This window comes from Homo sapiens, chromosome 1 (genome assembly GCF_000001405.40).
Source record: "Homo sapiens chromosome 1, GRCh38.p14 Primary Assembly".
NCBI lineage: Eukaryota > Metazoa > Chordata > Mammalia > Primates > Hominidae > Homo > Homo sapiens.
Window position 1 is genome coordinate 32,177,564 of NC_000001.11, and position 27,962 is coordinate 32,205,525.

The following is a 27,962-nucleotide window of genomic DNA, read 5'->3' on the forward strand; positions in this document are numbered from 1 at the left end:
TTGAGGCCAGGAGTTCAAGACCAGCCTGGGCAGCAAAGTGAGATCTGTCTCTACAAAAAAATTTAAAAGTTAGCTGGCTGTGGTGGCACATACCTGTAATCCTAGCTACTTGGGAGGCTGGGGCAAGGGGATCACTTGAGTCCAGGTGGTCGAGTCTGCAGTGAGCTATTATGATCACTGCACTCCAGCCCCAGCAGCTGAGTAAAACCTGTCTAAAAAACAAAAATACAATCTGGCCCTACCCGGCCTGAGTTTCTGCTTGCTAACAATGTGCAAGAGCTGCTGTATTTTACTGCAATCACCACCTCTCCCTCACTCTGGCAGGTGCTAATATTGTTGCTATATATTGTTTATAGCAAAGGAGAAAGTAACTTGTTAACCTATGTTTCTGTCAATTATTCTTGCCTGTTCTCATTACCCAACTGGCCCCTCTAGGCTATTGTTGACCCTTCTACTACATCCTCTATCCCTCACCCCATGCATACATTTTTATGTTCTTTATCTCACCTAGAACACCCTTGTTATATGGAAATCTATCAAGGCCTGATTTATATGGTGCCTTCTCAAGAGATTTCCAGAATGCTTTTCTAGAAATAATCAGGGCCTTGGTTTCAGGACATCTAGATTCCAACCTTTCTGAGCCTCAGTTCCATCATTATACTAAAAATTGAATATCTCTTATCCAACATGCTTGGGACCAGAAGTGTTTCCAATTTGGGATTTTCTCAAATTTTACCGGTTGAGCTTCCCCAATCTGAAAATCTGAAATCCAACATGCACGGCTCTGAAGTCTTTCACTGAGCCTTTGGGGGAAATATTTAACATCCTAACAGCCCTAAACCAACGCTCAATTAGCACAACAGTTTACAATCTTCTCTACCCACAGCCTGATGCGAGGCTCTGGGACTAGACTATTTAGCCAACAGTTCTTGCAAAATTAACTGACTTATAAGTAAATAGTAATTTCAACACCTCACTGCTAATGCTGTAACAACTCTGCAGACCTAGGGAGCAAGTACGGTTTGCAGAGCACTGGGAAGGCTCTGAAGTGACCTTTGAACTGGGCCTCAAAAAATTTTGGGTTTGGCAAAAGTCAAATCTCTTAGGCTTCAAATTCCAGGCACAAGGATTGTTGGGTTTGATTTCATTATCCAGAAGCAATGGGGATACAGAATTGTGATCTCATGTGTAGGGAACTGTGGGGGTTTTTTCTACTTTAACCCCAGTGAGACTTTGTAGAGTGTGGGGTAGAGAAAAGGCTCATGAATATGCCTGAAGCCTAACTCAGCACCTTTCTGAGGAACTGACTGCCAAAATGGTAATGGAGAGGGGAAAATATGACCTACTTTCACAAGTTACCTTGACTGCCTCAGGGAAACCTGCTGTGGTAGTGTTTCTTCTGGGTGAAAGACCAGGTAATTACCTGGGTGCTGGTCTCAGACTTACCAGTTTTGAATCCCTGTTTTAACCACTCACTATCGATATGACCTTGGATAAGTTACCTAACCTTTCTCTTACTGTCCTTTTCCGTAAAATGGGGATAACAGATAGTAGTTATTTCTATGAGTGGTTATGAGAACCAAGCTATTAGATAGCGGGAAAGCACACAGTAAGCGTTCAAGGAACTGCTATTGTTATTAAAAGCCTCCTTTGGAAGAAGGACATTGAGGCCCAGAGAGAGAACAGAACGTCCAGCCACACAGCAAATCCGTGATGAAGTTGGGACTGGAGTATGGGTCTCCTGAGTCTCAGCCCAGGACTCTATCCCTCTTCCCGAGTCCTCGGAGTTCCCGGATGGAGTCACATTTGTTCACGGCCAGGGAGGAAGGTTTGATGGAGGCCTGCAGGAAACAACAGCCAGGCGCAAGGCTTTGGGAGTTGAAGCATAGCTTCTGCGAGATAGAAACAAGGTTGACATGGGCACTCGTGCAGAATGACGGGCTCCTTTTGGACTCCCAGGACTACAGTCCCTTATGCACCTTGGGATCTGCGGCTAGCCCCTGCGTAAAGAGGGACGCGTAGTCTTTTCCCTGCCCCGCCCTGCCGGGGCGCCCGCCTCCGAGGCCGCCCTCGCTTCGTCCTTCCCAGCAAGCTCCGCGCCGGCGCCGGCTATTGATTGGCTGAGGCGGGAGCAGGCGGCTGGCCGGCAGCAGTTACTCGGGGTTTCCGGTGCGAGGCCAGAGGTGGGGAAGCCATCGGACGTCGGCGGTGAGGTACGTGCAGCGGCGGCCGGTGGGCGAGACTATTTGAGAGTGTGCGGGCCGGGATGTTCTCGGCCTGTGGGGAAATCACGCCAACTCCCCGCGTGGGCCGGGGGCTGTCTGGGGATATGCGCATGCGCGGGCGTGCCTCGCGGCTTGAGGGCGCGCGGGGCGTGGGTGGCTGCGCGCGCGGGGGGCGCACGTGGGGCCTGAGGGGCGGGGGCGGTGCCGGGAGTCCCGCCACGTCAGTCTCCGGCCCTGAGCCAATCCCGCGCCCGGCCTGCCGCGAGGGGGCCGGTTGTGCCGGGAAGTGGCTCCAGGGAGAAGAGGCCTCTTCCCTCACCCGCTGTGGGAGCTGCGCCCCGAAAGCCTGCCCCGGCACGTCGGGCTCTCCTGACCCGCCAAGACCAGAGAGCCGTTGGCGCCCTCCGCCCGGGCCTGCCGGTCCGTTTATTTTAAGAAGCTTTGTGCGCCTGCTGTGGGGATTTCTGATCCAGGCTGCGAAGAATTTCGAAGTCTGGAAAATAGCAACTGTGTTTGTTTCTAAAGGATCTTCTCCTGACCCAGCATCGCTCATCACAATGAAGAACCAAGACAAAAAGAACGGGGCTGCCAAACAATCCAATCCAAAAAGCAGCCCAGGACAACCGGAAGCAGGACCCGAGGGAGCCCAGGAGCGGCCCAGCCAGGCGGCTCCTGCAGTAGAAGCAGAAGGTCCCGGCAGCAGCCAGGCTCCTCGGAAGCCGGAGGGTGTGTGCCAGCTCTGCGTTGCCAGCGGGCAGGGGGAGGAGCTGTGGGGTCGGCCTCGCTTCTGGACTTACAGGCCGAGGCCAGGTTGTCCGGGAGGAGGAGATGTAGAATGAGAGGACAGTGCTGGGGGCCGCGGTCCCCCCTGCGCTCTGGCGAGTTGGCGGAGCTGCCCCCTCTAAGCACAGGAACAGAGTTCTGGAGAGAAGCTCCGACGGGATTAAGTCAGGTGGCAGCCAAACGAGGCACCCAGTCAGGAAATCCAGGTCCCGTTAGAAACACCTCAGCCACCAGCAGCTAACTGCCCTTCCTGTTTGAGGCATTTCTAGAATGATCTGAATGGCAAGAAATGGTTTTGTGGGGGGGAAGGAGATGGACTAGAAGTTGCTCCGTGCCATCCCTGTGTGCTGATGCTTTACATACTTTTATGATCTAACAAATATGTTCGGGTGGTAGTGAGAAATAGTTGTGTCATTTTACAAGTAAACAGACTTAAAGAAGTTAGGCAACGATTACTATAATTTCTTGATTTAAAAGATGTTTCGAATCTAAATTCTGACAGGAACTAGATTTGCTGAATGATACTCCATTCTTGCTTCTCAGTTTCCATAAAAAAAAAAGTTAGGCAACATTTAACTCAAACTGATGAGTTTGGCTGGGCCTGAAAAATCCCAACCAGTGGTATAATCGTCTTCTTTCTCACTCTACCCCTCATCCTCTCCTGCTGTAGGGGCTCAAGCCAGAACGGCTCAGTCTGGGGCCCTTCGTGATGTCTCTGAGGAGCTGAGCCGCCAACTGGAAGACATACTGAGCACATACTGTGTGGACAATAACCAGGGGGGCCCCGGCGAGGATGGGGCACAGGGTGAGCCGGCTGAACCCGAAGATGCAGAGAAGTCCCGGACCTATGTGGCAAGGAATGGGGAGCCTGAACCAACTCCAGTAGTCAATGGAGAGAAGGAACCCTCCAAGGGGGATCCAAACACAGAAGAGATCCGGCAGAGTGACGAGGTCGGAGACCGAGACCATCGAAGGCCACAGGAGAAGAAAAAAGCCAAGGGTTTGGGTGAGCAGAGGGCGGCTCTTTGTGAAGCTGGTGAGGAGAGGGAGTTTGGACTTGACGTTCTCTGGGCCAGTCTGTTCTGCCAGGATTCAAAGGAAAACGGTACTTCTCAGAGCAGCAAGTCACTCTAGTCTAATCAAAGCCAGGGATGTGGGGGCCACGGCATAGAGAGATGCAGGAGTTACCAGCACAAAGCCTTCTGGGTTTTGGAGCAACTGGAGCTTGGCATGGGACCTGTTCTCTCTTTGAGAAAATGGAGACGGGAGGCTAGGGTAGGCTCCTGTGCCAGCCAGTACTACCTGCTGTGTGACCTTGGGTGTGTCCCTTCTCCTCTCTGGGTCTTAGTTTATATTTCTCTTTACAGTAAGAAAATTAGACTAGGCCAGAGTTGAAAACCCAAATATCTGCATAAGCTGGGCTGGCCATGGGGCCACCTGAAGATGGAGGCTTTACTGCTTCCTGATTAGTTGCTCTCAGCTAGCCAACTGAGAGCAGGCAAAACTACAGGCTGGGTGCAGTCAGGCTTTTTTTTTTTTTTTTTTTTTTTAAATAAAGAAAAGCCAGAAATCTAGAGTTATGTGAGAACTCTAGATTTTTTCATAGTTAGCAGCTAAAATGGTAAGAGCCAAACAAAACCCATCCGTGGGTTGGATTTGGCACACATGCCTGCGAATTGCAGTCTCCATGCTGATCTCTTGGGCCCTTCTGGGGAGGCAGAGGGAAGGCTCCCTGACTCAGTCACAGGCAATGGGGAATAGGCAGTGACAGTCATTTTACAGCAGGGTATGTATGTTTAAGAGTCTAGGCCGGGTGTGGTGGCTCACGCCTGTAATTGCAGCACTTTGGGAGGCCGAGGCGGGTGGATCACCTGAGGGTCAGGAGTTCGAGAACAGCCTGGCCAACATGATGAAATCCCGTCTCTACTAAAAATACAAAAATTAGCTGGACATGCTGGCACACGCCTGTAATCCCAGCTACTTGGGAGGCTGAGGCAGGAGAATGGCTTGAACCCGGGAGGCAGAGGTTGCAGTGAACTGAGATTGTGCCACTACATCCAGCCTGGGTGACAAGAGTGAAACTCTGTCTCAAAAAAAAAAAAAAAGAATCTAGAATCTAAGTCGAGTGTCATTATATCCATGTTTTATTCCTATTCCCTTTTCCCCTTATGTATCCTCTTACTTTAAAGAGGAACTTTAAAAAATCTTAGGGACGACTAGGCAGAGTGGCTCACACCTGTAACTCCAGCACTTTGGGAGGCCAAGGCAGGCAGATTATGAGGTCAGGAGTTCGAGACCAGCCTGGCCAACATGGTGAAACCCCAGTTCTACTAAAGATACAAAAAATCAGCCGGGCGTGGTGGCACGTGCCTATAATCCCAGATACTCGGGAGGCTGAGGCAGGAGAATCACTTGAACCCGTGAGGCAGAGTTTTCAGTGAGCTGAGATCATGCCATTGCACTCCAGCCTGGGTGACAGGGTGAGACTCCATCTCAAAAAAAGAAAAAGGAAAAAATCTTAACGTCACATACATGGAAAGTATCATCTTCTTCACCCCCCACCCCCAACTGAGATGGAGTCTTGCTCTGTCACCCAAGCTGGAGTGCACTGGCGCGATCTCAGCTCCCTGCAAGCTCCGCCTCCCGGGTTCACACCATTCTCCTGCCTCAGCCTCCCGAGTAGCTGGGACTACAGGCGCCTGCCACCATGCCCGGCTAATTTTTGTATTTTTTTAGTAGTGACAGGGTTTCACTGTGTTAGCCAGGATAGTCTCGATCTCCTGACCTCATGATCCGCCCACCTGGGCCTCCCAAAGTGCTGGGATTACAGGCGTGGGCCACCGTACCCTGCCTTTTTTTTTTTTTTTTTTTTTTGAGATGGAGCCTCGCTCTGTCCCTAGGTTGGAGTGCAGTGGCGCGATCTCGGCTCACTGCAAGCTCCACCTCCTGGGTTCACGCCATTCTCCTGCCTCAGCCTCCCGAGTAGCTGGGACTACAGGCTCCTGCTACCATGCCCGGCTAATTTTTTTGTATTTTTTTTAGTAGAGACGGGGTTTCACTGTGTTAGCCAGGATGGTTTTGATCTCCTGACCTCGTGATCCGCCCGCCTCAGCCTCCCAAAGTGCTGGGATTACAGGCGTAAGCCACTGTACCCTGCCTTTTTTTTTTAATTAATTAATTTTTTTAGACAGAGTCTCGCTCTGTCACCAAGCTGGAGTGCAGTGGCGCGATCTGGGCTCACTGCAACCTCCGCCTCCTGGGTTCAAGCGATTCTCCTACCTCAGCCTCCGGAGTAACTGGGACTACAGGCGCGTGCCACCACACCAAGCTAATTTTTTTGTGTATGTCTTTAGTAGAGATGGGGTTTCACCATGTTAGGATGGTCTCGATCTCTTGACCTCGTGATCCGCCTGCCTCGGCCTCCCAAAGTGCTGGGATTACAGGCATGAGCCACCTTGCCTGGCCGAAAGTATCTTCATTTTAAAGTTCACTGTTTGGCTACTCTGTTGACAAGAGTTTAGTATTTCTCAAGGAGGCTAAGATACCTATTCCTTTTTGGATCCTACCTCTATCAGGAGGGTGGGCCTTCCTTGCATTGAAACAGTATGAAACAGTAGCCCTGAATTCATAAGTGGGACACCTTTCTTCTATTGGTAGAGCAGGCAGTTTTTTTCTCCTGCCAATGGTGCCTACTAAGGAGATTTCACTAGGGTACAGTCGTTCATTTGATAAGCATTTGTTGAGCATATCCTCTGTGATGGTACTATGGACAGTACTGGGGCTATAGTGAGGGCAGGATTGAGTTGGTCCTTATGGCAAGGAAGGCAGCTAATCAACAAGCAAAATATAAAGTATGATGGGGAGGGCTGTCTTCAGCACTCATGAGTGTGAGCCCAGGCCTGGAGGGGACACCTGGAGAAGAGGGTGCATGTCTTTGCTCCTGTGCTTTTCAGGGAAGGAGATCACGTTGCTGATGCAGACATTGAATACTCTGAGTACCCCAGAGGAGAAGCTGGCTGCTCTGTGCAAGAAGTATGCTGAACTGGTCAGTTCCCCCCTCCGCGGGCACCTTCCCTGCGTTGGGAAAATCAGCATGCCACCTGGTGTAAGGTTGGGGGTGCAGAGTCAAGTAGGTGGCTTAATTCCTGTTCAGCTTTTCTCTGAACTATCTGTTAAATGGGGAATCACTTCCAGCCAGCCTCTTCAGGGCTGTGCAGCAAGAGGAGAAACTGCATATTCCTTGAAAGAAATTTCTCAAAGAATGATTCCAAGGTGGTAGAGCCCTTGTTCCTGGCCTGAGTCCAAGACACCTTGTGATCTTGATGCTTCTTCCTCAAATACAGATGCATAGAGCCATTATCACAGTTAATAAAACTAACACTAGTCACTTGATACTTTTTCCTTTTACTCCAGAGCAGTCTTCTTGTCACTGCCTCCTCATATTCCCCATGACATTGACTTTTAACAGAAACTAGACTAGCTGTCTTGTAGGATGCCCCCTTCTAGCTTTGTCATCTCTGTGGTATCATTTTACTTCTTTACCTCCTGGTACATGTAAGTGAAGTAGAAGTTAGCTCTAAAGCTTGATCCAATTCAGCTTCAACTTTTTGACAAGAATTCTTCATAAGTACTTCATGTTCCATCACAATAAATGCAAAGCATGCTCTTCCCACTTTGTTGTAACATTGTTCAGTGGGTTGGGGGTGGGGCAGCCAGATTCTTCCATCATCAGGTCCCTTGTCAGAATTTGAACTAACAGATTTATCCATTGATGGTCACAGCCTGTGTATGTATGTATGTATGTATGTATGTATGTATTTATTTATTTATTTATTTTTTGAGACGGGGTCTTGCTCTGTCGCCCAGGCTGGGGTGCAGTGGCACGATCTCGGCTCGCTGCAAGCTCCGCCTTCTGGGTTCATGCCATTCTCCTGCCTCAGCCTCCCGAGTAGCTGGGTCTACAGGCGCCCGCCACCATGCTAGGCTATTTTTTTTTTTTTTTTTTTTTTTAGTAGAGACGGGGTTTCACCGTGTTAGCCAGGATGGTCTCGATCTCTTGACCTCGTGATCCGCCCGCCTCGGCCTCCCAAAGTGCTGGGATTACAGGCTTGAGCCACCACGCCTGGCCTATTTATTTATTTATTCAGAGTCAGAGTCTCGCTCTGTCACCAGGCTGGAGTGCAGTGGCGCGATCTCGGCTCATTGCAACCTCCACCTCCCAGGTTCAAGCGAGTCTCCTGCCTCAGCCTCCCGAGTAGCTGGGATTACAGGTGCATGTCACCATGCCTGGCTAAATTTTGTATGTTTTAGTAGAGACAGAGTTTCAGTATGTTGGCCAGGATGGTCTTGATCTCTTGGCCTCGTGATCCGCCCGTCTCAGCCTCCCAAAGTGCTGGGATTACAGGTGTGAGCCACTGTGCCTGGCCTCTAAGTATTTATTTTAAAATTAATTCATTCCACACACATTTATTAATATTTTCCTGTAAGGAACTTTACTCATCTTTAAAATGGGGAATGTCATACCTGCCTAATGACATTCTTGTAAGGATTAAATAAAAGGTATAAGGAAGATAAGCACCCTTTTGGAGTGATCCAGCCAGGGGAAAATTGCTGATGCAAGAGAGGAAATGAGTTGCTAGAGTGGTGTTGTGAGTAGAGGAGGGGAGCTGAGGCCTGCCCAAGAAGGGGGCTTGGCTGTGGTAACCACATGGCTAGGTCTGTGTGACTGGAGGAGAGGACGGGGCAGGTGGACTGGTAGATGTGCAGCTTGTGCCCCTGATTCTCTAGTTTCTTCTGTGTTTTGAGATTTGATGAGAACGATGAAATAGTTGTCTGGAAGGAGAGGAGTGTGAATAGCATATGCATTGTATTGGGATTGCTGGTCTTCCTGAAATTGGTGGCCATGAATTTAAAGTGAGACTCTTCAAGTAGGGTTGTTATAGTACTGGTGTAAAGCAGGAAGGTGCTTTACTAGGGTTGCAGTACTACTGGGGAAGGGCCAAGAGAGTTGAGGGTGTAAGAAATCCAAGCCAGGTAATGTAGTTATTTTAAAGGAGAGTGGAAGGATGGTTGAGTCAATGGATTGGAGGTCCTATAGGGTAAGAGACTTTCTGAGGATCACAGATACTGATTGGAATGAGCTAAAAAGATAGGTGATGGTAGTCCTGGACTGGGATGCTGGAAATTGAGATAGTGGGTGTGCTCTCTGGTAGTGACAAAGTCTAGATCTGCGCTGTCCAAGATAAATTCGTCTCTAGCTAATTGACATGTGGCCAGTTTGAATTTGAACATGCTATAAATGTAAGATACACATCAGCTTTTGAAGACTTAAGCAAAAACAAAGAATATAAAACATCTTTTTGTGAGAGAGTGTCTCAGTCACCCAGGCTGGAGTGCAGTGGCGTGATGTCCTGCTTCCAGGTTCAAACGATTCTCCTGCCTCACAGCCTCCTGAGTAACTGAGATTACAGGCGCATGCCACCAAACTGGCTACTTTTTTGTATTTTTTTTTTAGTAGAAACGGTTTCACCATGTTGGCCAGGCTGGTCTTGAACTCCTGACCTCAAGTGATCTGCCTGCCTCAGCCTCCCAAAGTGCTGGGATTACAGGCATGAGCCACCACTCCCGGCCTCACTTTTTTACATTGATTCCGTGTTGAAATTGTAATGTTTTGGATATTAGGTTAAATACATATATTACTAAAATTAATTTCACCTGTTTTTTACTTTTTTAGTGCGGCCAGTAGAATATTTTTAATTACTTATGTGGTTTGCATTATATTTCTGTTGTACAGGCCTGGATAGGGTCATGGGAGGGGAACTGAGCTGGGGAAAGGAGTGGGTTTGTGGAAGAGGTGATGGACTGTGAGGCCAGGGAGTTAGAAGGATTATCTGTTGATACTGAAGTGGCCACAAATGAGAAAAGTAATTGTGTTGGGGAGAGCGCTGATGAACGCAGCGCTAACGTTTTGAAGGAATGCGAGGGAGCGATGGGGGTCTGTCTGTTAATAGGCACAAGGTACGGTAGCAGGTGGTCTCATCCTCGGGCATGAGTGTCCAGCAAGTTGGGGAAATGCAACAGCTTGAAGTGGCTCTAGTGGCCCAGAGTCAGAGCTGGAATAGGAATTGGCATCTGCTGGCTGTGTGGCCCCTGCTTGCCCTAGTGAGTTACCATTTCTCTGTCCCTACGGTGGAGCCTTTGGGGTTATTGTGAGTTCATGGGAGGAGCGTGTAAGCACCGGCACAGCATCAGCCCATGAGAGTGCTCCTGGCCTGAGAGGGTAAGGGTCAGGGCAGCTCAGGAGACCCTAGACCTGCATAGTGATCCCCCCACCAGGAAGGCCCCACAAGATGCTCACCTGCCCTCCCTATCCCTGTCCCCAGCTGGAGGAGCACCGGAATTCACAGAAGCAGATGAAGCTCCTACAGAAAAAGCAGAGCCAGCTGGTGCAAGAGAAGGACCACCTGCGCGGTGAGCACAGCAAGGCCGTCCTGGCCCGCAGCAAGCTTGAGAGCCTATGCCGTGAGCTGCAGCGGCACAACCGCTCCCTCAAGGTAGGCCTGGGCCCCCTGGAACAGGTGACTCTGGTTTCCTTGACTTCCACTTAATGTTTCTTTCATGGGCTTTCCTCTTAAAAAGTAGTGCAGGCTAGGGCCAGGCGCAGTGGCACACATAAGTGATTAAAAATCTTCTGGCCACTAAAAAACAGAAATTAATTTTAGTAATATACTTAACCCAATATCCAAAACATTACAATTTCAACATGAAATCAGTGTAAAAAAGCAAGGCTGGGTGTGGTGGCTCACACCTGTAATCCCAACACTTTGGGAGGCTGAGGTGGATGGATCACTTGAGGCCAGGAGTTTGAGACCAACCTGGTCAACGCAGTGAAACCCCATTCTACTAAAAATACAAAAATTAGCCGAGTGTGCTGGCAAATGCCTATAATCCCAGCTACTCAGGTGGCTCAGGCATGAGAATTGCTTGCACCTGGGAGGCTGAGGTTGCAGTGAGCCGAGATTGCATCACTGCATTACAGCCTGGGCAACAGAGTGAGACTCAGTGTCCAAAAAAAAAAAAAAGTAGTGCAGGCTTGTGGCATAGAAATACACTTTCTCAATAATGCCTTACGTTAAGAGAGTACTGCTTGTAATCATTTGACATGTATTAGATAAGGTGAAGGATAAAGTACTAAGAGAATCCATAATGCACTGGCGTTAGTATTTCTCAATGAAATGACAGTCCCCTGGTAAGCGGAGGCCTGGCTCTGACAAGCAGCTCTTGTCCCAGACGTTGGTCAGTCAGGAACCTGGGTCCTTCCCATGTTCTGCTGCTTCTATGGTGAGGTCAGTCTGTGGTTACACCAAGTTTAAATACAGCCTTTTAACTTTCTTTTTTATATGTAAAATCTTACATGTAGTTTTTAGAATGAAATTATTATACATGTACCATTTCATATCCTGTGCCTTTTTTTCACTTTACATAACATTTTTCCCTATCAGTATGTGTAGGGCTATCTTCTCATTATATGGATATATTATATCAGTGCCCTAGTTAAAGCATTTTGGGGGTTGTTTACAATTTTTCATTATTACATATAGAACTATAGTGAAAATTCTTGTTATATTTATCACTGGTCAGTTATATAGAACTTATCTGTAGGATAAGTCATGGAATTGAAATGGCTAGGTCACAGTATATGCAGATTTTTCATTTTAATAGATTTTGCTGGATTGCCTTCCAGTGAGGGGGCAGTGTGCCTTCCCCATCAAAAGTGTTGAGTGCCTAATTCTGCACAACTTTGCAAACCCTGGGTGTTACTAAATTTTAACAGCTTGGTCTCTGGGGGTACAGAGGGGACAAATGCACATTAATCTGAAATCTGGAAGAATAGGCCTTAGGAGATCCGACTTGCTTCAGAATGGCACTTAGCACTTACATGTGTGCATGTGTGCCTGCATTTTTTCTTCCTTTTTTTTTTTTTGGGGACGGAGTCTTGCTCTGTGGCCCATCGCCCAGGCTGGAGTGCAGTGGCGCGATCATAGCTCACCACAACCTCCGCCTCCCAGGTTCAAATGACTCCTCTGCCTCAGCCTCCCAAGCAGCTGGGACCACAGGTGCACACCATCACGCCGGCTAATTTTTGTATTTTAGTAGAAACGGGGTTTCACCATATTGGCCAGGCTGGTCTCAAACTCCTGACCTCGTGATCCGCCCACCTCAGCCTCCCAAAGTGCTGGGATTACAGGCGTGAGCCACCGCGCCTGCCATGTGCCTGCATTTTTCTAGGGGGAGAATCTCACTTGATGTCACCTGATATACAGAGGGGCCCATTGGAACCCGCATTGCACAACATCCTGGAGTCTGGCTACTCCACGCTTTGGGAGCAGGGAGGGCTGTTGGCAGAGACCATCTGTGGACTAGCTGGGGGACCCTTGTGAGGTAGCAGTGGATGATGGCTCTCGGGCTGACTTCTTTGCCCAGGAAGAAGGTGTGCAGCGGGCCCGGGAGGAGGAGGAGAAGCGCAAGGAGGTGACCTCGCACTTCCAGGTGACACTGAATGACATTCAGCTGCAGATGGAACAGCACAATGAGCGCAACTCCAAGCTGCGCCAAGAGAACATGGAGCTGGCTGAGAGGCTCAAGAAGCTGATTGAGCAGTATGAGCTGCGCGAGGAGGTAAGGGTATCACGGACAGCAGTCATGGCCCAGAAATTGTGAGGTTTTGAGTGTGTGCTAGGCACTGGGACAGTACCTTTTCAGGCTTCATCCCATTCTCCCTTTCTTCCTCCTCCTCCTCCTTGGGAGGAGAGTAATGTTATTCCTCATAGATAAAAAACAGGTGTGGAGAAGAGACTCACTTACAGCCACACAGCCCCAGGTCCACAGTGCCTTGTCCCAAATGACTGGGCCAGGCATCTTTTGGAATTAGAACTATCCACATTTTAGAATGGAGGTACATGTATGGACTGTGTGTTATATAGCACCCTCAGCAGGGCCTTGGGGAAGCCAGACACATTAATGTATTTATGCAGTAGAACTTCCAAATACTCACCTACATTATGGGCTTACAATGATGCAGGTCAAGTCTGGCTGCCAGCTTATGACAATTTCCATTTTCAGAACTTTGTAGAATTTGGAATTGCAGGGGAGGGGTGTACCTGTGATCAGTGATGGACTCCAGAGACTGTGTCCACTGATTCCTTGCTGCTCCTGCCACTCAAAAGGCAGAATTTATCAGGCTGGGCGTGGTGGCTCATGCCTGTAATCCCAACACTTTGGGAGGCCAAAGCGGGCGGATCACCTGAGGTCAGGAGTTCAAGACCAGCCTGGCCAACATGGTGAAACCCTGTCTCTACTAAAAATACAAAAAATTAGCCAGGTGTGGTGGTGCACGGCTGTAGTCCCAGCTACTCAGGAGGCTGAGGCAGGAGAATTGCTTGAACCCAGGAGGCAGAGGTTGCAATGAGCCAAGATTGTGCTACTGCACTCTAGCCTGGGTGATATACCGAGACTCCATCTCAAAAAAAAAAAAAAAAAAAAGCAGGATGTCACTCCCTTTGTCACTGCGTTGGCTGCCACCCCAGGCACTTGAATCTTTGGATCTTCCCTGCCAGTCACCTGGCTGTTCTGGGCGCGTTCTCATCATGAGAAGGGAGACCTGCAGCCCCCTTACAGGGCTGGCAGAGGACCTGCTCTGGATTAGGCCCTTTCCTAGCCCCTGGGGTGTGGCAGTGGGTGAGACCGGGAAGATCTGCCCTCTTAGGTTCATAGGCCAAAGTGATGATCGTGTGTGCAGGACCTAGAGGGCGCTCCCCTGACCCACCCCTTTCCTTGCCATACTTCATCCTCTGGGAACAAAGCTGCTTGTTTGGTTTGAGGGGAGTTGGTTTGGTTCTTATCCCTCAGCGCTGAGACATAGAGGCTTCCTGGGCCACTACAGTGAGACACGAACTTCAAGAATCTGAATACCCCCGTTTTCTCTCCCCGCCAAGGCAAAAAAGGACTTAGTACTACCTGTGGAGAAGGAGGTGCAGGACTACCAGGCCCTGCTGCTTTGCATTTACAGCCCTCCCCAGACAGACACAGGCACCCTCATCATACCCAAACTGGACTTACCTGCTAGGCACCTTCCCTTCCCCATCCAAAAAAATGGAGTTATTTTCCCTTATTTCAGCAAGTCCAGTTGATTTTACCTTTGAAGTAGCACCTGAGTCCTTCACCTTCTCTCCATCCCTTCTCTCTCACCTGACACAGGTCTGCAGCGCTCCTCTAGTAGGCAGGACAGCCATTCCTTGGGGATGCACATGTCTAGTCTTTGCCTAGATATGGCAAGTCTTTGCCAACTGAGCTAGGCTGTTATGTTCTTAGAGGCATTGTTTTTGCCCATTCTTCCCATTTACAAGAGAATCAGGGACACAGAAGTGAGGGCTTCCAGCCCCATAGGTGATCAATCCTGGGGTCAGAGATTTGAGTGTGTTTATTGCTTGCCTTCTTGGGAGCAGATTCCATCCATAAACCATGTGCTTACCAAGGTCTGACTCACTGGGAGAGAAACGACGTGAGGTTGGAAAGCTGACCTTCCAGAGACTTGGGGCCCATGTTGTGTGGTACACATGGGAGTCCATCATATCAGATTGAGATGGGGGGCTGGGCAAAGTGCCCTGGTCTGTGGCTGTGGGGCTACCCTGAGAAAGGGAGCGCCTGACAAGCCGACTGCTCCCACCATCTTTGTTGCAGCATATCGACAAAGTCTTCAAACACAAGGACCTACAACAGCAGCTGGTGGATGCCAAGCTCCAGCAGGCCCAGGAGATGCTAAAGGAGGCAGAAGAGCGGCACCAGCGGGAGAAGGATTTTGTGAGGCTCAGGCCCCAGGGTTGGGGTGGGGGTGGGAGGAGACAGGCTGGGCTCTGGCTCAGCTCATAGCCGGGTTATATGGGAGAAGTCTGGCCAGACCAGGCACAGATTCCTTGAGTACCAGTCTGAGAGCAGGAAGCCTCAGTGGGTCTGGTGCTTGTGGCTAAAAACCAAACATAGCCCCTGGGGGCTTCTGACAGGATCTGGGGTTCTGTCTTGGAAATAGCTCCTGAAAGAGGCAGTAGAGTCCCAGAGGATGTGTGAGCTGATGAAGCAGCAAGAGACCCACCTGAAGCAACAGGTGAGAGCATATAACCTGACCCTGTGCCTTCAAGTTTCCCTCACTGGGCCCCATCCTGGGGGTAGTGAAATGGGACCCTCATTCTAGGACTGGCTGTGTCCTGGCTGCTATGACGCCTTGGTTGAGCCTTTGTTCTCTCCGGACCTGCACAGTACCTATGTGGTGGTGACCAGGTAGTTAGGTGGGCTCAGAGGACTTCATTTGTAGCTCAGAAATGTATTGCTTTTGAGGAGGTAGGAACAGAAGAGTTTGAAAATCAACATAAAGGCAAAATAAAAGTCACCCTAAGTCTCCTACTTTCCAGGCTTAGCATTTTGGATTATATCCTTCCAAATATATAGCTTTGCTTTGTTTTAAGGAAAAATAGTATCTCAATAGAATTACTGGTCAGAGAGTCAAGGACGGGTCTGAGTGTGTTGACCAGAGTGCCTCCCAGAGAAACCCAGTCTTATCTGTGGGCTGCTTTCTCCCCACAGCTTGCCCTATACACAGAGAAGTTTGAGGAGTTCCAGAACACACTTTCCAAAAGCAGCGAGGTATTCACCACATTCAAGCAGGAGATGGAAAAGGTAACTGTGGTCCAGGCCAGGCATGGCTGCTGGGGCATAAGCTGCTTCATTCAAAATTGTTGGGCCTGCCTTCAGGAAGCTCCCATCTGGGGTGTCTCAAGGGCAGGGCTGTTAGGAAGGTTCACAGCCTTTCCCCTCTTGAGGCAGTATCAGTGGTATGTATACACTCCAGGTTGTCCCAGGGAATGGGGCAGTCTTTTCTGTTTGTTTGGTTTTTTTGGGGGGTTTGTTGTTGTTGTTGTTGTTGTTGTTGTTGTTTGAGATGGAGACTCACCTATTGCCCAGGCTGGAGTGCAGTGGCATGATCTCAGCTCATTGCAGCCTTTGCCCCCCGGGTTCAAGTGATTCTCCTGCCTCAGCCTCCTGACTAGCTGGAATTACAGGCGCGTGCCACCATGCCTGGCTAATTTTTTCTTTCTTTTTTTTTTGTATTTTTAGTAGAGACGGGGTTTCACCATGTTGGCCAGGCTGGTCTCGAACTCTTGGCCTCAAGTGATCTGCCCGCCTTGGCCTCCCAAAGTGCTGGGATTATAGGCGTGAGCCACCATGCCTGGCCCCTTACCATTCCTTGTTATTGGTGGTGGACACCTCTGACTTCCTGGTGGTGAGGTGGCACAGAGGGCATTGACTGCATCCTGTAATGCCTTGCGCCTTGGGATCAATCATTCCCCACCTTGGAGACACAGGTGCAGTCCCCACCTTGGAGACACAGACCTTGGAGAGGCCAGCTCTGACCATTTCCTTCTGTCTGTCACATAACCTAGATGACTAAGAAGATCAAGAAGCTGGAGAAAGAAACCACCATGTACCGGTCCCGGTGGGAGAGCAGCAACAAGGCCCTGCTTGAGATGGCTGAGGAGGTGGGCTGTCTGTGATCTGCAGCCAGGGTGGGGGTGTGCACTTAGCGCATATCAGGCCCTTTCCTGTATGTTCTACCCATCAGTGACACAGCTAGCATGAGGTAGAGGTGAGATTTGCACACAATGTCCAAGTCCAAAGTTAATGCTGTTCTCTCCCCATGGGAGGTGGTGAGCCCAGTGGTAGGTCTCCAGTGGGAGTGAAGGGAGCAAATGGAAGAAAGGAATAAAAGAGCAGAAAAAAACGGGTGCCAGTGATGTGCCTGGTTTACATGTAAAGCAGCCCAGGTAGTTTGTGATTTCACAGCTTGTAATGTAGAAGAAAGGAACTAACGATGGAGCAGCAACTGCAAGCCAGACCTTGCTGAAAGTTTTTGGGTTTTTTTTGTCTTTTTTGCTGCTGAATGTTTTTAGGTACGTTGTTCATTGAACCTTCTCTTGAGCTCTGAGGATGGTATTAGTAGTCCTGTTTTATAGATGAGACAGGCTCAAAAGTCAAGTCCTTTGCCAAGGTCACGTGGTAGATAAATGGAGGAATACGTTATCTCCAAGCCGTGCCCCTTTTCTGCACCATGCTGCCCCACCTGACAGCCTAGTCATGGCTTCAACTAGGACTGTTTCCTAGAGGGGGCCAGCTTTGGACTCGGTCTGCTCTCAGCCTTGTTAAAGTGTTTGCCGCCAAGTGGTGATGGTAAGTGGGAGGTTGATGGGGCACGGCACTGAAGGTCTCATTTCTTTCCCTAGAAAACAGTCCGGGATAAAGAACTGGAGGGCCTGCAGGTAAAAATCCAACGGCTGGAGAAGCTGTGCCGGGCACTGCAGACAGAGCGCAATGACCTGAACAAGAGGGTACAGGACCTGAGTGCTGGTGGCCAGGGCTCCCTCACTGACAGTGGCCCTGAGAGGAGGCCAGAGGGGCCTGGGGCTCAAGCACCCAGCTCCCCCAGGGTCACAGAAGCGCCTTGCTACCCAGGAGCACCGAGCACAGAAGCATCAGGCCAGACTGGGCCTCAAGAGCCCACCTCCGCCAGGGCCTAGAGAGCCTGGTGTTGGGTCATGCTGGGAAGGGAGCGGCAGCCCAGCCAGGCCTGGCCCATAAAAGGCTCCCATGCTGAGCAGCCCATTGCTGAAGCCAGGATGTTCTGACCTGGCTGGCATCTGGCACTTGCAATTTTGGATTTTGTGGGTCAGTTTTACGTACATAGGGCATTTTGCAAGGCCTTGCAAATGCATTTATACCTGTAAGTGTACAGTGGGCTTGCATTGGGGATGGGGGTGTGTACAGATGAAGTCAGTGGCTTGTCTGTGAGCTGAAGAGTCTTGAGAGGGGCTGTCATCTGTAGCTGCCATCACAGTGAGTTGGCAGAAGTGACTTGAGCATTTCTCTGTCTGATTTGAGGCTCAGACCCCTCCCTGCCCTTCAGAGCTCAAGACAAGTAATACACCCAGGTCTTGACTGCATTTGTCTTGTGAGCAGGGCTTGCTTGGTCAGCTCAGGCCCTCCTAGCTGCTCTGGAGGCTCCTTTGATTCTCTAGACCTGGAAAAGGTGTCCCTAGGCAGAGCCCTGGCAGGGCGCTCAGAGCTGGGGATTTCCTGCCTGGAACAAGGGACCTGGAGAATGTTTTTGCGTGGGATGATGTGCTGGTCAGGAGCCCCTTGGGCATCGCTTCCCCTGCCCTTTGGTAGTGCCAGGACCAGGCCAATGATGCTTCTCAGTAGCCTTATCATTCACAGGTGCCTCTCTAGCCTGCACAAATGATTGACAAGAGATCACCCAAAGGATTATTTCTGAAGGTGTTTTTTTCTTTATTTCTTTTTCTTTTTTTTTTTTTTTCTTTTTCTTTTTTTTTTGCACATGACAGTGTTTGTATTGAGGACCTTCCAAGGAAGAGGGATGCTGTAGCAGTGGTGCCTGGGTGCCTGGCCTCCAGTGTCCCACCTCCTTCACCACCCCACTTGGCTCCTTTGCCATCTTGATGCTGAGGTTTCCTGTTTGGTGAGATCAGGTTGTTTGTGGTAAAAGAAAGGAAAGGGCTTCTGATGGCTTTGCCACAAGCTTACCTGTGGGTTTCAGTCCTGAGAGGCCACCACCAGTTCCCATCAGCACTGTCTCCATGCAGCAGTTGCTGGGTCCCATGTCCAGCTGCCTCTTTGGCTTCATGGGTTTTTCTGCTTCCTGCCCCCACCCCCACATGTGCAATCCTCAAGATTTGTCCTGATTCTATTTCCTGGCACCTCCCTGCCTGTCCTTGGGGATTCTACTTCTTCCTGTGTGGGAGCCCATAGCTGTTGTCTAACAGGTAAGAAATGAAATTGAACTATTGACTGGGCCCCAGAAATCCATAAAATGGCTGCAGACAGTTGTTTCTGTGTCCTGTTCTACCCCCACTCCAGTACATAACTACTATGTACTGTGTAGAGCCATTCTATATGCTGAATGTTCTGCTGTTGCAAACTTGCCAGGGTATTAGCCAGTGTTTGTGCCAAGCAGTTTTCTGGGACAACAGAATGACTCAGACCAAGATGGATAGGATGGTTAGGGCTTTGCTTCTTGCTGTTTTTCTTTGAAGCTAGTTCATTGTCCTGCAGGTCCCTTCATCTTCCATACCTAGCCCACTCTTTTAGCCCTTACCTTAAATCTCTCAGATAAGTTGGTTCACAAAGAATGTTAAGTACTGAATCATGTGTGACTGAGACCAGAGATGGCAAATGAATGGCACACCATTTCTCCTTCTCCTGCCCCAGGGCAGGTACCACTGATCTGCATCAGAGTTGCCTGCTATTCTCTGGTGTATCCTTCACATCTAGGTGCCCTCAAGCAGCTGTGTGAGTGTTGAGATCTCTGCCATCTCTGGCTGAGATACTGCTGTCCTGTGAAGTGTTTCCCATGACCTTTTTCTTCCCCTTTGAATCCCTCTGTCTGGAGTAGTCCTTGCCTCTTCCTGCTCCAGTAGGGCCTTTTCCCTACCCCAGCCCCTGTGCCAGGCTAAGCTGGTACAAGAGCTGCCAACCTCACAGAGTGTTTGCTAGGCGAGAGAGGTGCAGGGAAGAGGCAGAGGTATGCACCTTCCCCCTTGAAGAGAGGGGAAAGGCCTACAGTGGCCCACATAATTGCCTGACTCACACTTCAGCTACCTCTTAATGCCTGTGGAGGGACTGGAGCTGCTGGATCCCAGTGTGGTGGTGTAGGAGGCCACAGTGAGCAGGTGGCCCCAGCTGGGTTTCCCAGGTCAGGAATGTGGGCCCCAGGCAAGGTGCAGCCTTTGCTCACAGCTCCATCCATGTCTAGACCTTCAGGCCAGTCTGCAGATGAGGTTCCCTACCTTTTTCTTCTCTTCATTGACCAAATCAACCAATCACTACAGCTGCTCTGCTTCTGCTTTCCAAAGTAGCCCAGGTCCTGGGCCAGATGCAGGGGAGGTGCCTATCCATGAGTGAAGGCCAGTGTCTTCCTCACCTGGGTGGGTCCCACACTTGTGACCTCAGTTTTAGGACCAAGATCTGTGTTGGTTTCTTAGATTGCTAGCTTTTCCTCCAGGGGACCACAGCAGGTGAAGCTCAAGAGCGCATGGCTCTGCTAATAGTAAATTGTTTTCAGGGCCTTGTCCAGCTGAGAGCTTCATGTCCACCAGATTCTGAGAGGTGTCAGCAGCACTTTTTTTTTTTATTTGTTGTTTGTTTTCCATGAGGTTATCGGACCATGGGCTGAGCTCAGGCACTTTCTGTAGGAGACTGTTATTTCTGTAAAGATGGTTATTTAACCCTCCTCCACCCCATCACGGTGGCCCTGAGGGCTGACCCGGAGGCCAGTGGAGCTGCCTGGTGTCCACGGGGGAGGGCCAAGGCCTGCTGAGCTGATTCTCCAGCTGCTGCCCCAGCCTTTCCGCCTTGCACAGCACAGAGGTGGTCACCCCAGGGACAGCCAGGCACCTGCTCCTCTTGCCCTTCCTGGGGGAAGGGAGCTGCCTTCTGTCCCTGTAACTGCTTTCCTTATGGCCCAGCCCGGCCACTCAGACTTGTTTGAAGCTGCACTGGCAGCTTTTTTGTCTCCTTTGGGTATTCACAACAGCCAGGGACTTGATTTTGATGTATTTTAAACCACATTAAATAAAGAGTCTGTTGCCTTACTTGTTTCTCTCCTGACCTGTGTATTCCTTTGTTTCTGGATCTGATCCATTCAGCCCCTTCCATCATCACTGACTTGTTCAGGTCTGCTGCAGAGCGCCCATGGTGGTTCCCTGGTATCTTACATATTCCACAGTGTCTTTGAGCAGTCGCCACAGCCTCAGGATGCTGGCATATTCACTTGAGCTGCCTGAGTGGAGCCCTTGGCAAAGTTGGCAAGACCCTTGCCTCAGAGAGGATCACACACACACAAAAAAGTTTTCCCTGACCTGGGGGCTCACAGGCTAGTGAAGGGAAAAGGTACTTTTAGCTATAGACAGGTCAATGGTGCTGAGAGCAGAGAGGAGGCCCCTGCCCCCTTCAGCAAGGTGAGGGGGTGATACCTGGAATGGCCTTCTGAACCACAGGGCAGGTAGAAGATGAACGTCATTTAGTGATTAAATGGTACAGCTGGGAAGCAGGTCCATGGGACTGGGAGAGGGGGTGAGGCTGGGCCCAGAGTCTGGGTACCAGGTTAAGGAATGTGGGCTAGATCCAGAGGGCAGGGGGGGCAACTGAAGGTGTTTCAATAGGAAATTGATAGGCTCCAGCAGTAAGGCAAAAGGCATGGAGCCAGGCATAGGCCATTTGAGGCCCAGGTTAAGAGGGGTGGACACTCATCACTGCTATTTGGGTCTGAGCTGTGGGTAGGCTCCTATAGCCCTGGCCTGCCCAAGGGAATTCACAGGGGCCTCTAATTGTATGCATTCCTTAAGGAGAGCACATTCTCTGTTCAGTTTTTACACCCCCCATTTACCCACCTCAAGCATGGGACTCCTATATGGGAGACATGCTGCTGGTGGCCTCACCCAGCACCCTGTTCTCTCTGGGTCCTGGGTTGGTCAGGCACAAAGGATGATATGTGCTGAATGCCCAGGAAATGGCAGAGACAACCCACCTGCCCTTCCCTCCAGGCCTCCACAAATAGATGTGCCCACAATGACTGTGACAGTCCCAGCAGAGCCTCTGACCCTTCTAGCTGGGTCCTGATACATGTTTTCCATGCTGGCCATGTTATTTCTAGTCGCAGATCCTCTGGAGGGTGTGGGGGGGGTGCCGCCCCAACTCTTGGAGATTCCAAGCAAAGCAGCTCTGAGAATAATGAGGTTTCTGACCCCCCAGTGAAGCAGCTGAGGATGGGAACCACAGGGGTGCTCCCTCTGTCAGCAGCATTACCACTGTCTACTCTAGCAGCTCCGGTGGGGAAGGAGAGGGATTTCTGTTGTCCCCAGTCTGGGCCCCTGGTTATTGAAAAAGTTCGGAATTACTCTTTACCCTTGTGGAGTGTTCTGAGTGTTGGAAGTACCCAGGAAGAAGCCCTGAGCAGGTGCCCTCAGGAGCAGTGCCCATGGCTCCCCACATCAGCCAAGAGGCCCAACCCCAGGAAGCCACTCCTGCCCGGGGATGGGGAAGGTGGGCTGGGTGGCTGTGTGCACTGCCCTGGGCCAGCTCACTTGAGCCTGCTGAGCCGCCTGGCCAAACATGAGCCTCTCTCCTGTTGTATCAGATGCTGTTCTGGGGACCTGCGCCAGGAGCCTCTGCCAGGGCTTTAAATAGCTGCCCCCATTGATCTGGCTGCAGGCAGCAGCAGTCACACTGGGTCAGCCTCCATCAGGTGCTCAGGTTTCCCTGAGGACTGGAGTCAGGTGCCAGGGAATCGCGTGGTCTACCTTATGACCTGGTGCTCCCCACACCTGTCTCCTAGGCCTGGGGGGTGGGGAGGACTCCTGTCACTTCATCTGCGGCAAAATACAGCCCCCACCACTTACCAGAGAAAACTGTCTGGCATTGTAGAGAGAGGGGTTTTGCCCTCAAAAGACTGTTGCTTACTTTCAGTAGAATGGGGAATGACACTGGTATCTTCCTTAAGGGTTGTTATGGGGATGAAATGTATGTAAAGTGCTCAATAGGGCACTGGACTCACTCCATTGATGGCTGTCTTTGCTCGAAGTGTCTTCCTGATGCTGCTGCTGTTGCTGCTTGTGCTTCTTCTGTGCTTACATTCTCTCTCTCTCACTCACTCACTCTGTCTCTCCTCTCCCCCGCCCCACCCCCTTTCTGACAAAGCCACCACCATTTTGTAAGGAACTGTAGCTTCTCTCTGAAACTGCCGGGAAAGGGAAAATCTTTTTAAAATAGACATCACACAACCAACAGGGTCCCCTAGGTTCAGGCGGGGAGGTGAGGTCGAGTGAGAGGAACTGCTTAGCATACGCGGGGATGCTCCTCCCATCTCACCCCACCGCGCTAAGGAGAAGGTCACTTTCTCTTTAAATGCAAATGAACTCCCTCCAGCTTAGCTTTCACCCGGTGGTGTTCCCGGGAGGAGAGGGCGGAGGGCGGAGGGAACTTGCACCGAAGCATCACTCGAGACCCCAAACCTCCAGGTCAGTAGCCCCCTGAGGGAGTGAGGGCGGGGGCGGAATGACGCGGGTCTGACGCTCTGTCTTCGAGCGCGGCTGCGGAGCTGAGCGATGAGTTTGGCACATGGCTTTGGAGCCCGGGCTTGGGAAATAGATCCCCGGTCGCCCCAGCCGCTCCTGGGGAGCACAGGCTCCGGCTCCAGTTCTTCTATCAGGTCCCTAATTGGGTCAAGCTGCTGCACGGAGAGGCAGAGGATGCGCTCCTATCTCCCCTCCCCACACCCGCAGACCCCGTCAGTGGCAGCCAGCTATGTGTCAGTGTAAATGCTTAAGCGCCACCCACCCCCCCAACCCCCCCAGTCCCAGAATTCGAAGTTAGGCTCGGTAGCAGCAGCCTGGAATGAGACCCCCAGAGGAGGGAACCCCAGCCGACCGGAGGCTTGGGGGGCGCTGCTGGACCGGGGACCTCGGAGCAGCCCAGCCACAGGCGCAGCCTTTGTCGGAGGCCCAGGCAGCCAGCGGCCAACCACCCAGTCCACCCTGGCTGCAGCTGAAGCCCAGCAGGGACTTTCCGACTGGGAAAAATGAAGCAGCTGAAAGCACACCCGCGGGACCTATAGGGAGTCCCTAATATTTTCGGTTGGGGGTGGGTGGAAGTGGAGGGATGCCGGTGTCTATGTGGGGGAAACCCACAATGAACCCTGCCCTGTATGCTGCGGCTTCTCCTACAATTACCCACACGCTGGGGCTTTCCCAGGCGCCCCTACCTGCACCTTGTCCCCCTCCCATGCTGACAGGGTTTGTTAGCATCTGCTTAGGCCCCTGATAAATAGAATAGGGTTTAGTTAAGACATCCCTAATCTTCGGCTGGGCTTCTGCAGCTCACCTCCGTCTTGTCTCCCACTACATTTCCTCTGCCAGCCCCGCCCCCCAGCCACCGTGACAGGAAGCCCCAGTAGCGCCAAGATAGTTGTGACTGGTCCCACCCTTTCAGGAGGGGCCTAGGTTTTCAGGCAGAAGGGGAATTAGGTTGGGCCTTAGAAGGTCCTTCAAGTGTACATCCACGATCCCAGCAGCAGACACTGGCATCTGGCTCTGCCCCTACCGTATAGATGAGGTGACAAGCTGGAAGGTCCCAGGGCCCTTCCTTGGTGCAGCTCTCAGGGATTTCTGGGTGAAGGGCTAACTTTGCCCCTGGCTATCTTTGTGGGGTTGCTTCCCTCCTAGGCCTGAGGCCCAGCCAGCGCCCAATGGATGACAAAAAGAAGAAACGGAGTCCCAAGCCCTGCCTGGCCCAGCCAGCCCAGGCCCCAGGCACACTACGGAGGGTCCCTGTGCCTACCAGCCACAGCGGCTCCTTGGCCCTAGGACTTCCTCATCTGCCATCCCCCAAGCAGCGGGCCAAGTTCAAGAGGTGGGTACAGAAGGGAAGGAAAGGAGGAGGGACCCCAACTCTGGGTTGCACTGTAGAGAGGAAGGCAAGGGGGGCCTCCGCCTTTAGTTCCTAAGCAATAATTGATGCCTTTCTGGAGCAGACCCCTGAGAACTCAGAGCTCACTCAGACCCAGTCCCTACCCTCAACTGTGTGGCAAAAAGGCCAGGTGGGTCACTGGGATCACATAGCGTGAGGATTCGCCTCAGAGGAGGGAGTGAGCAACTCTGCAAGAAAGTGAATGTTCCACGCTGAGAGGCTTACCTGGTATAAATATGGAAGAAAGCTATTACCTGAAAGGTTTCAGGAACCACAGGTGGTTTGGGGGCCCTGGAGTATCAGGGAACAGGAAATGGTGAGGAAATACCTGGGGGCACAATTTGAATTCTCTGTTGAATTTTTTTTATGATTGGGAGTTTGCATGCTGCCTTATAATGTGTCCATGTTTGTTCCCCACTAAATACAATGTATTCTTTCTCCAGTTGCTCCAGATAAGACCACTGTGTTTCCCCCTGGTTTTGCACACCACTTGCCTAAGGGGCATGAAGCTCAAGGCTGTGGGGAGAGTAGCAGGAAAGGCAACTGGGAAGGCAGGAGGGCCAGGCTGGCAGGGGCATTCAATTTTATCCTGAGAGCAGTGGAAATTTTAAGACAGTTTTTTTGGTTTATTGGTTTGGCTTTGTTTTCTATGTATTTTTGTTTTTGTTTAAAAGAGTTTTTAAATAGAAGAGGGTTGGCTGGGCATGGTGGCTCAGCCTATAATCCCAGCACTTGGGGACGCTGAGGCAGGCAGATCACCTGAGGTCAGAAGTTTGAGACCAGCTTGGTCAACATGGTGAAACCTCATCTCTGTTAAAAATACAAAAGTTAGCCAGGCGTGATGGTGGGTGCCTATAATCCCAGCAACTTGGGAGGCTGAGGCACAAGAATCACTTGAACCTGGAAGGCAGAGGTTGCAGTGAACCGAGATTGTGCCACTGCACTCCAGCCTGTGTGACAGTGAGACTCTGTCTCAAACAAAAAAAAAATTTTTTTTTTAATTAAAAAAAAAGAAGAGGGCTAGGGGCAGTGGCTCAGGCCTGTAATCCTAGCACTGTGGAAGGCCAAGACAGGCAGATGACCTGAGGTCAGGAGTTCAAGACCAGCCTGGCCAACACGGTGAAACCCCAACTCTACTAAAAGTAAAAAAAATTAGCAGGGCATAGTGGCAGGCGCCCATAATGCCAGCAACTTGGGAGGCTGAGGCAAGAGAATCACTTGAACCCAGGAGGCGAGGTTGCAGTGAGCCGAGATCACACCACTGCACTCCAGCCTGGGCAACAGAGCGAGACTCTGTCTCAAAAAACAAAAAAAAAGAAGAGGGGCAGAAAGATATTTTGGGAGGAGGTAAGACAGCCCTGGTGGCAATAAGGGAGTAGCTGTCTCTATATACGCTGAAGACTAGGGAGGATAAGTGACTCATTCAGGGTCATAAAACAAATGAGTGAGGCACTCAGACAGGAACCCAGGGACCCCCTTTCAGGCACTGCTCTGGCTGTGTTATTAGCAGAAAAGACTTCTTTTTGACCTCTTCACGCCTCCTCACCCCTTCCCAGTGCCCAAGGGGAACCATAAAGTTACCCATTTATGCTAGTAAGTAGATGGGCAGATGAGTTAGTGCAGATAGACAGATAAACTGGTGCATAGGCAGATGGCACAAAAGATCGGGAGGTGCCTGACTGCCCCCTACCCTGTGATCATGGTCATGTCCACCCCACCCAGAGTAGGCAAAGAGAAGTGCCGCCCAGTCCTGGCTGGAGGTGGAAGCGGCTCTGCAGGCACGCCCCTGCAGCACTCCTTCCTGACCGAGGTGACTGATGTCTATGAGATGGAGGGGGGACTCCTGAACCTGCTCAATGATTTCCACTCTGGCCGGCTGCAGGCCTTCGGTGAGTCCTGGGGGCTGGTTTCAGCGGGTGTGTGGATAGGGCTGTAGGGCCCAGTCCATGGGGCATGGCTGGGACCATGGTTCCAGGGTTCCAGGGTTCCAGGACTCTTTCCCAGGGTTCAGACAGGGGCTTCGTTCCAGGGAAGGAATGCTCCTTTGAGCAGCTGGAGCACGTTCGGGAGATGCAGGAGAAGCTAGCCCGGCTGCACTTCAGCCTGGATGTGTGTGGGGAGGAGGAGGACGATGAAGAGGAAGAGGATGGGGTCACTGAGGGGCTGCCAGAGGAGCAGAAGAAGACAATGGCTGACCGTAACCTGGACCAGCTGCTTAGCAATGTGGGTTCATGTCTGGGTGCTTTGGTTCCTGGGGGCATGAGGGGTGGAGAAGGTACATACTCCCAAAGCCATTCCTGGGCCCTGGGTGAAAAGGTGGGAGTGCATGGATCCAAGAGCTCTGGGCCCCTCAACCTCCCCAGAAGATAGCCCCCAGAGCATTGGGGATTTGGCCTGGTTCCCCTCCTAACAGAAGCCTCCCTTTTTCTCTTTGTTGGCAGCTGGAAGACCTCAGTAATTCTATGTATCCTTTCCAAGGAACCCGTCTATGTGTGTGTGTTCCTGAGAGGTCAGTTTCCTCCTCTCCAGCCCTCCAGGAGTATTCACACACAACCAACTTCCCCACCTCTTGCAGTCCTGTCAGATTTAGCCACAGACTGCCCAAACCCAGGTACAGGAATTTAGAATTTCCCCAAAATTAGAAGAAAAGTGGTTGTAGGGGATGTTTTACTACTGATCAAAATCTTTGTGAGTACTTTAGCTGACATCAATCATAGCAAAGCTTGTCCGATGTCCTCCTATCCTTTCAGCATTGAACAATTATTTTTACTAATTTACACTACCACCTCACCTGGTCCTCAGTCAGAAACAGCGCGAGTGCGCGCGCACACACCCCAGTGTGTCTGACCTGCACGATCTGGATGAAGAGAGAGGGGGTGAGAGAGGGCAGGCGGGGACTGCAACCTCAGTCCACAGACGGCCCGAGACCCTCGTCCCCGGCCCTTTGCACAGGTGAGGGAACTAAACCTGTGCAAGATGGGAGACCGGGGTGGGAGGAAGGACTGGTCCAAAGCGCCACGATCCTTGACGGGCACAGCCAGAAGCTGCACCTGGCCGAGAACGCCGAGCCTGAGGAGCAGTCCGCTGCGTAGGCGTCCCACGCAGGCCCACACTGCCCCTCTCATTCTCTTCAAACTGTGACTTTTTACAGACTCGGGCGGGTGTTCTGCGGCCCCCCAGGTGCTATGGGGGAGGGGGGCGTTGAATGGAATTAAACCAGAAAGAAAGCAAGCGGCTCCGTGTCCTGCTTCCCCTCCTTGCGCCTTTCCTCCCGGTCTCCGCGGAGACAGCCCTCGGTTATGGAGGTACCGCCTGCGGGATTGGAGTGCCCCTTGCGGCTGTGGGAGGGGCAGTCGGGGGCTGGGGGGA

General features: G+C 51.2%; 2 protein-coding genes across 14 annotated transcripts, besides 17 other annotated features; both read left to right on the forward strand.

The window, feature by feature from the left end:
• Positions 1,290-2,049: an enhancer, noted in NCBI's record as "H3K27ac hESC enhancer chr1:32644454-32645213 (GRCh37/hg19 assembly coordinates)". NCBI's record gives its function as "activates a minimal SCP1, AML or CMV promoter by ChIP-STARR-seq in primed H9 embryonic stem cells {active_cell/tissue: H9 hESC(primed)}" and the evidence as "EXISTENCE:reporter gene assay evidence [ECO:0000049][PMID:30033119]".
• Positions 1,986-2,175: a silencer, noted in NCBI's record as "silent region_584". NCBI's record gives its function as "represses an Ori minimal core promoter by ATAC-STARR-seq in GM12878 lymphoblastoid cells {active_cell/tissue: GM12878}" and the evidence as "EXISTENCE:reporter gene assay evidence [ECO:0000049][PMID:35858748]".
• Positions 1,986-2,808: a biological region, named in NCBI's record as "H3K27ac-H3K4me1 hESC enhancer GRCh37_chr1:32645214-32645972".
• Positions 2,050-2,808: an enhancer, noted in NCBI's record as "H3K27ac-H3K4me1 hESC enhancer chr1:32645214-32645972 (GRCh37/hg19 assembly coordinates)". NCBI's record gives its function as "activates a minimal SCP1, AML or CMV promoter by ChIP-STARR-seq in primed H9 embryonic stem cells {active_cell/tissue: H9 hESC(primed)}" and the evidence as "EXISTENCE:reporter gene assay evidence [ECO:0000049][PMID:30033119]".
• TXLNA (taxilin alpha) lies at positions 2,112-20,722 on the forward strand. Of its 7 annotated transcripts, none has more exons than XM_017000563.2 (11): positions 2,112-2,213; positions 2,751-2,951; positions 3,679-4,113; positions 6,962-7,053; positions 10,391-10,561; positions 12,492-12,686; positions 14,748-14,867; positions 15,094-15,168; positions 15,645-15,737; positions 16,502-16,597; positions 17,339-20,722. In XM_017000563.2, exons 2-11 carry the CDS (start codon positions 2,783-2,785, stop codon positions 17,630-17,632), a joined length of 1,740 nt encoding a protein of 579 aa, XP_016856052.1. In that variant the 5' UTR covers positions 2,112-2,213; positions 2,751-2,782; the 3' UTR covers positions 17,633-20,722. The 7 variants fall into 7 exon arrangements, with proteins under 7 accessions (XP_016856052.1, NP_787048.1, NP_001363787.1 ...); NM_175852.4 differs by having other exon boundaries at positions 3,679-4,014; NM_001376858.1 differs by lacking the exon at positions 2,751-2,951.
• Positions 2,316-2,495: a silencer, noted in NCBI's record as "silent region_585". NCBI's record gives its function as "represses an Ori minimal core promoter by ATAC-STARR-seq in GM12878 lymphoblastoid cells {active_cell/tissue: GM12878}" and the evidence as "EXISTENCE:reporter gene assay evidence [ECO:0000049][PMID:35858748]".
• Positions 2,696-2,775: an enhancer, noted in NCBI's record as "active region_669". NCBI's record gives its function as "activates an Ori minimal core promoter by ATAC-STARR-seq in GM12878 lymphoblastoid cells {active_cell/tissue: GM12878}" and the evidence as "EXISTENCE:reporter gene assay evidence [ECO:0000049][PMID:35858748]".
• Positions 2,896-3,055: an enhancer, noted in NCBI's record as "active region_670". NCBI's record gives its function as "activates an Ori minimal core promoter by ATAC-STARR-seq in GM12878 lymphoblastoid cells {active_cell/tissue: GM12878}" and the evidence as "EXISTENCE:reporter gene assay evidence [ECO:0000049][PMID:35858748]".
• Positions 3,066-3,115: an enhancer, noted in NCBI's record as "active region_671". NCBI's record gives its function as "activates an Ori minimal core promoter by ATAC-STARR-seq in GM12878 lymphoblastoid cells {active_cell/tissue: GM12878}" and the evidence as "EXISTENCE:reporter gene assay evidence [ECO:0000049][PMID:35858748]".
• On the forward strand, positions 18,448-27,824 carry CCDC28B (coiled-coil domain containing 28B). 7 transcript variants are annotated; one of them, NM_024296.5, is made up of 6 exons: positions 23,032-23,146; positions 24,350-24,536; positions 26,316-26,482; positions 26,623-26,816; positions 27,035-27,057; positions 27,631-27,824. In NM_024296.5, the coding sequence occupies exons 2-6, from the start codon at positions 24,373-24,375 to the stop codon at positions 27,683-27,685; spliced, it is 603 nt and encodes a 200-aa protein (NP_077272.2). In that variant the 5' UTR covers positions 23,032-23,146; positions 24,350-24,372; the 3' UTR covers positions 27,686-27,824. The 7 variants fall into 7 exon arrangements, with proteins under 7 accessions (XP_047286173.1, XP_047286171.1, NP_077272.2 ...); XM_017002307.2 differs by lacking the exon at positions 23,032-23,146 and adding an exon at positions 24,169-24,239; XM_047430217.1 differs by having other exon boundaries at positions 18,448-24,536.
• Positions 21,691-22,249: an enhancer, noted in NCBI's record as "H3K4me1 hESC enhancer chr1:32664855-32665413 (GRCh37/hg19 assembly coordinates)". NCBI's record gives its function as "activates a minimal SCP1, AML or CMV promoter by ChIP-STARR-seq in naive H9 embryonic stem cells {active_cell/tissue: H9 hESC(naive)}" and the evidence as "EXISTENCE:reporter gene assay evidence [ECO:0000049][PMID:30033119]".
• Positions 22,250-22,807: an enhancer, noted in NCBI's record as "H3K4me1 hESC enhancer chr1:32665414-32665971 (GRCh37/hg19 assembly coordinates)". NCBI's record gives its function as "activates a minimal SCP1, AML or CMV promoter by ChIP-STARR-seq in naive H9 embryonic stem cells {active_cell/tissue: H9 hESC(naive)}" and the evidence as "EXISTENCE:reporter gene assay evidence [ECO:0000049][PMID:30033119]".
• Positions 23,020-23,099: an enhancer, noted in NCBI's record as "active region_672". NCBI's record gives its function as "activates an Ori minimal core promoter by ATAC-STARR-seq in GM12878 lymphoblastoid cells {active_cell/tissue: GM12878}" and the evidence as "EXISTENCE:reporter gene assay evidence [ECO:0000049][PMID:35858748]".
• Positions 23,358-23,877: an enhancer, noted in NCBI's record as "H3K4me1 hESC enhancer chr1:32666522-32667041 (GRCh37/hg19 assembly coordinates)". NCBI's record gives its function as "activates a minimal SCP1, AML or CMV promoter by ChIP-STARR-seq in primed H9 embryonic stem cells {active_cell/tissue: H9 hESC(primed)}" and the evidence as "EXISTENCE:reporter gene assay evidence [ECO:0000049][PMID:30033119]".
• Positions 23,358-24,409: a biological region, named in NCBI's record as "H3K4me1 hESC enhancers GRCh37_chr1:32666522-32667041 and GRCh37_chr1:32667042-32667562".
• Positions 23,790-24,009: an enhancer, noted in NCBI's record as "active region_673". NCBI's record gives its function as "activates an Ori minimal core promoter by ATAC-STARR-seq in GM12878 lymphoblastoid cells {active_cell/tissue: GM12878}" and the evidence as "EXISTENCE:reporter gene assay evidence [ECO:0000049][PMID:35858748]".
• Positions 23,878-24,398: an enhancer, noted in NCBI's record as "H3K4me1 hESC enhancer chr1:32667042-32667562 (GRCh37/hg19 assembly coordinates)". NCBI's record gives its function as "activates a minimal SCP1, AML or CMV promoter by ChIP-STARR-seq in primed H9 embryonic stem cells {active_cell/tissue: H9 hESC(primed)}" and the evidence as "EXISTENCE:reporter gene assay evidence [ECO:0000049][PMID:30033119]".
• Positions 24,360-24,409: an enhancer, noted in NCBI's record as "active region_674". NCBI's record gives its function as "activates an Ori minimal core promoter by ATAC-STARR-seq in GM12878 lymphoblastoid cells {active_cell/tissue: GM12878}" and the evidence as "EXISTENCE:reporter gene assay evidence [ECO:0000049][PMID:35858748]".
• Positions 27,095-27,596: an enhancer, noted in NCBI's record as "H3K4me1 hESC enhancer chr1:32670259-32670760 (GRCh37/hg19 assembly coordinates)". NCBI's record gives its function as "activates a minimal SCP1, AML or CMV promoter by ChIP-STARR-seq in primed H9 embryonic stem cells {active_cell/tissue: H9 hESC(primed)}" and the evidence as "EXISTENCE:reporter gene assay evidence [ECO:0000049][PMID:30033119]".

Excerpts from the sequence above, each read along its gene's own strand:
- TXLNA (XM_017000563.2), top strand. The coding sequence starts at position 2,783 with ATGAAGAACCAAGACAAAAAGAACGGGGCTGCCAAACAATCCAATCCA. Across the intron at positions 4,114-6,961 it reads CCAGGATTCAAAGGAAAACG|GGAAGGAGATCACGTTGCTG; the intron begins GTACTTCTCAGA and ends TGTGCTTTTCAG. Across the intron at positions 15,169-15,644 it reads AGACCCACCTGAAGCAACAG|CTTGCCCTATACACAGAGAA; the intron begins GTGAGAGCATAT and ends TTCTCCCCACAG.
- CCDC28B (XM_047430215.1), top strand. The coding sequence starts at position 24,373 with ATGGATGACAAAAAGAAGAAACGGAGTCCCAAGCCCTGCCTGGCCCAG. Across the intron at positions 26,483-26,622 it reads TGGCCGGCTGCAGGCCTTCG|GGAAGGAATGCTCCTTTGAG; the intron begins GTGAGTCCTGGG and ends GCTTCGTTCCAG. Across the intron at positions 26,817-27,034 it reads TGGACCAGCTGCTTAGCAAT|CTGGAAGACCTCAGTAATTC; the intron begins GTGGGTTCATGT and ends CTTTGTTGGCAG.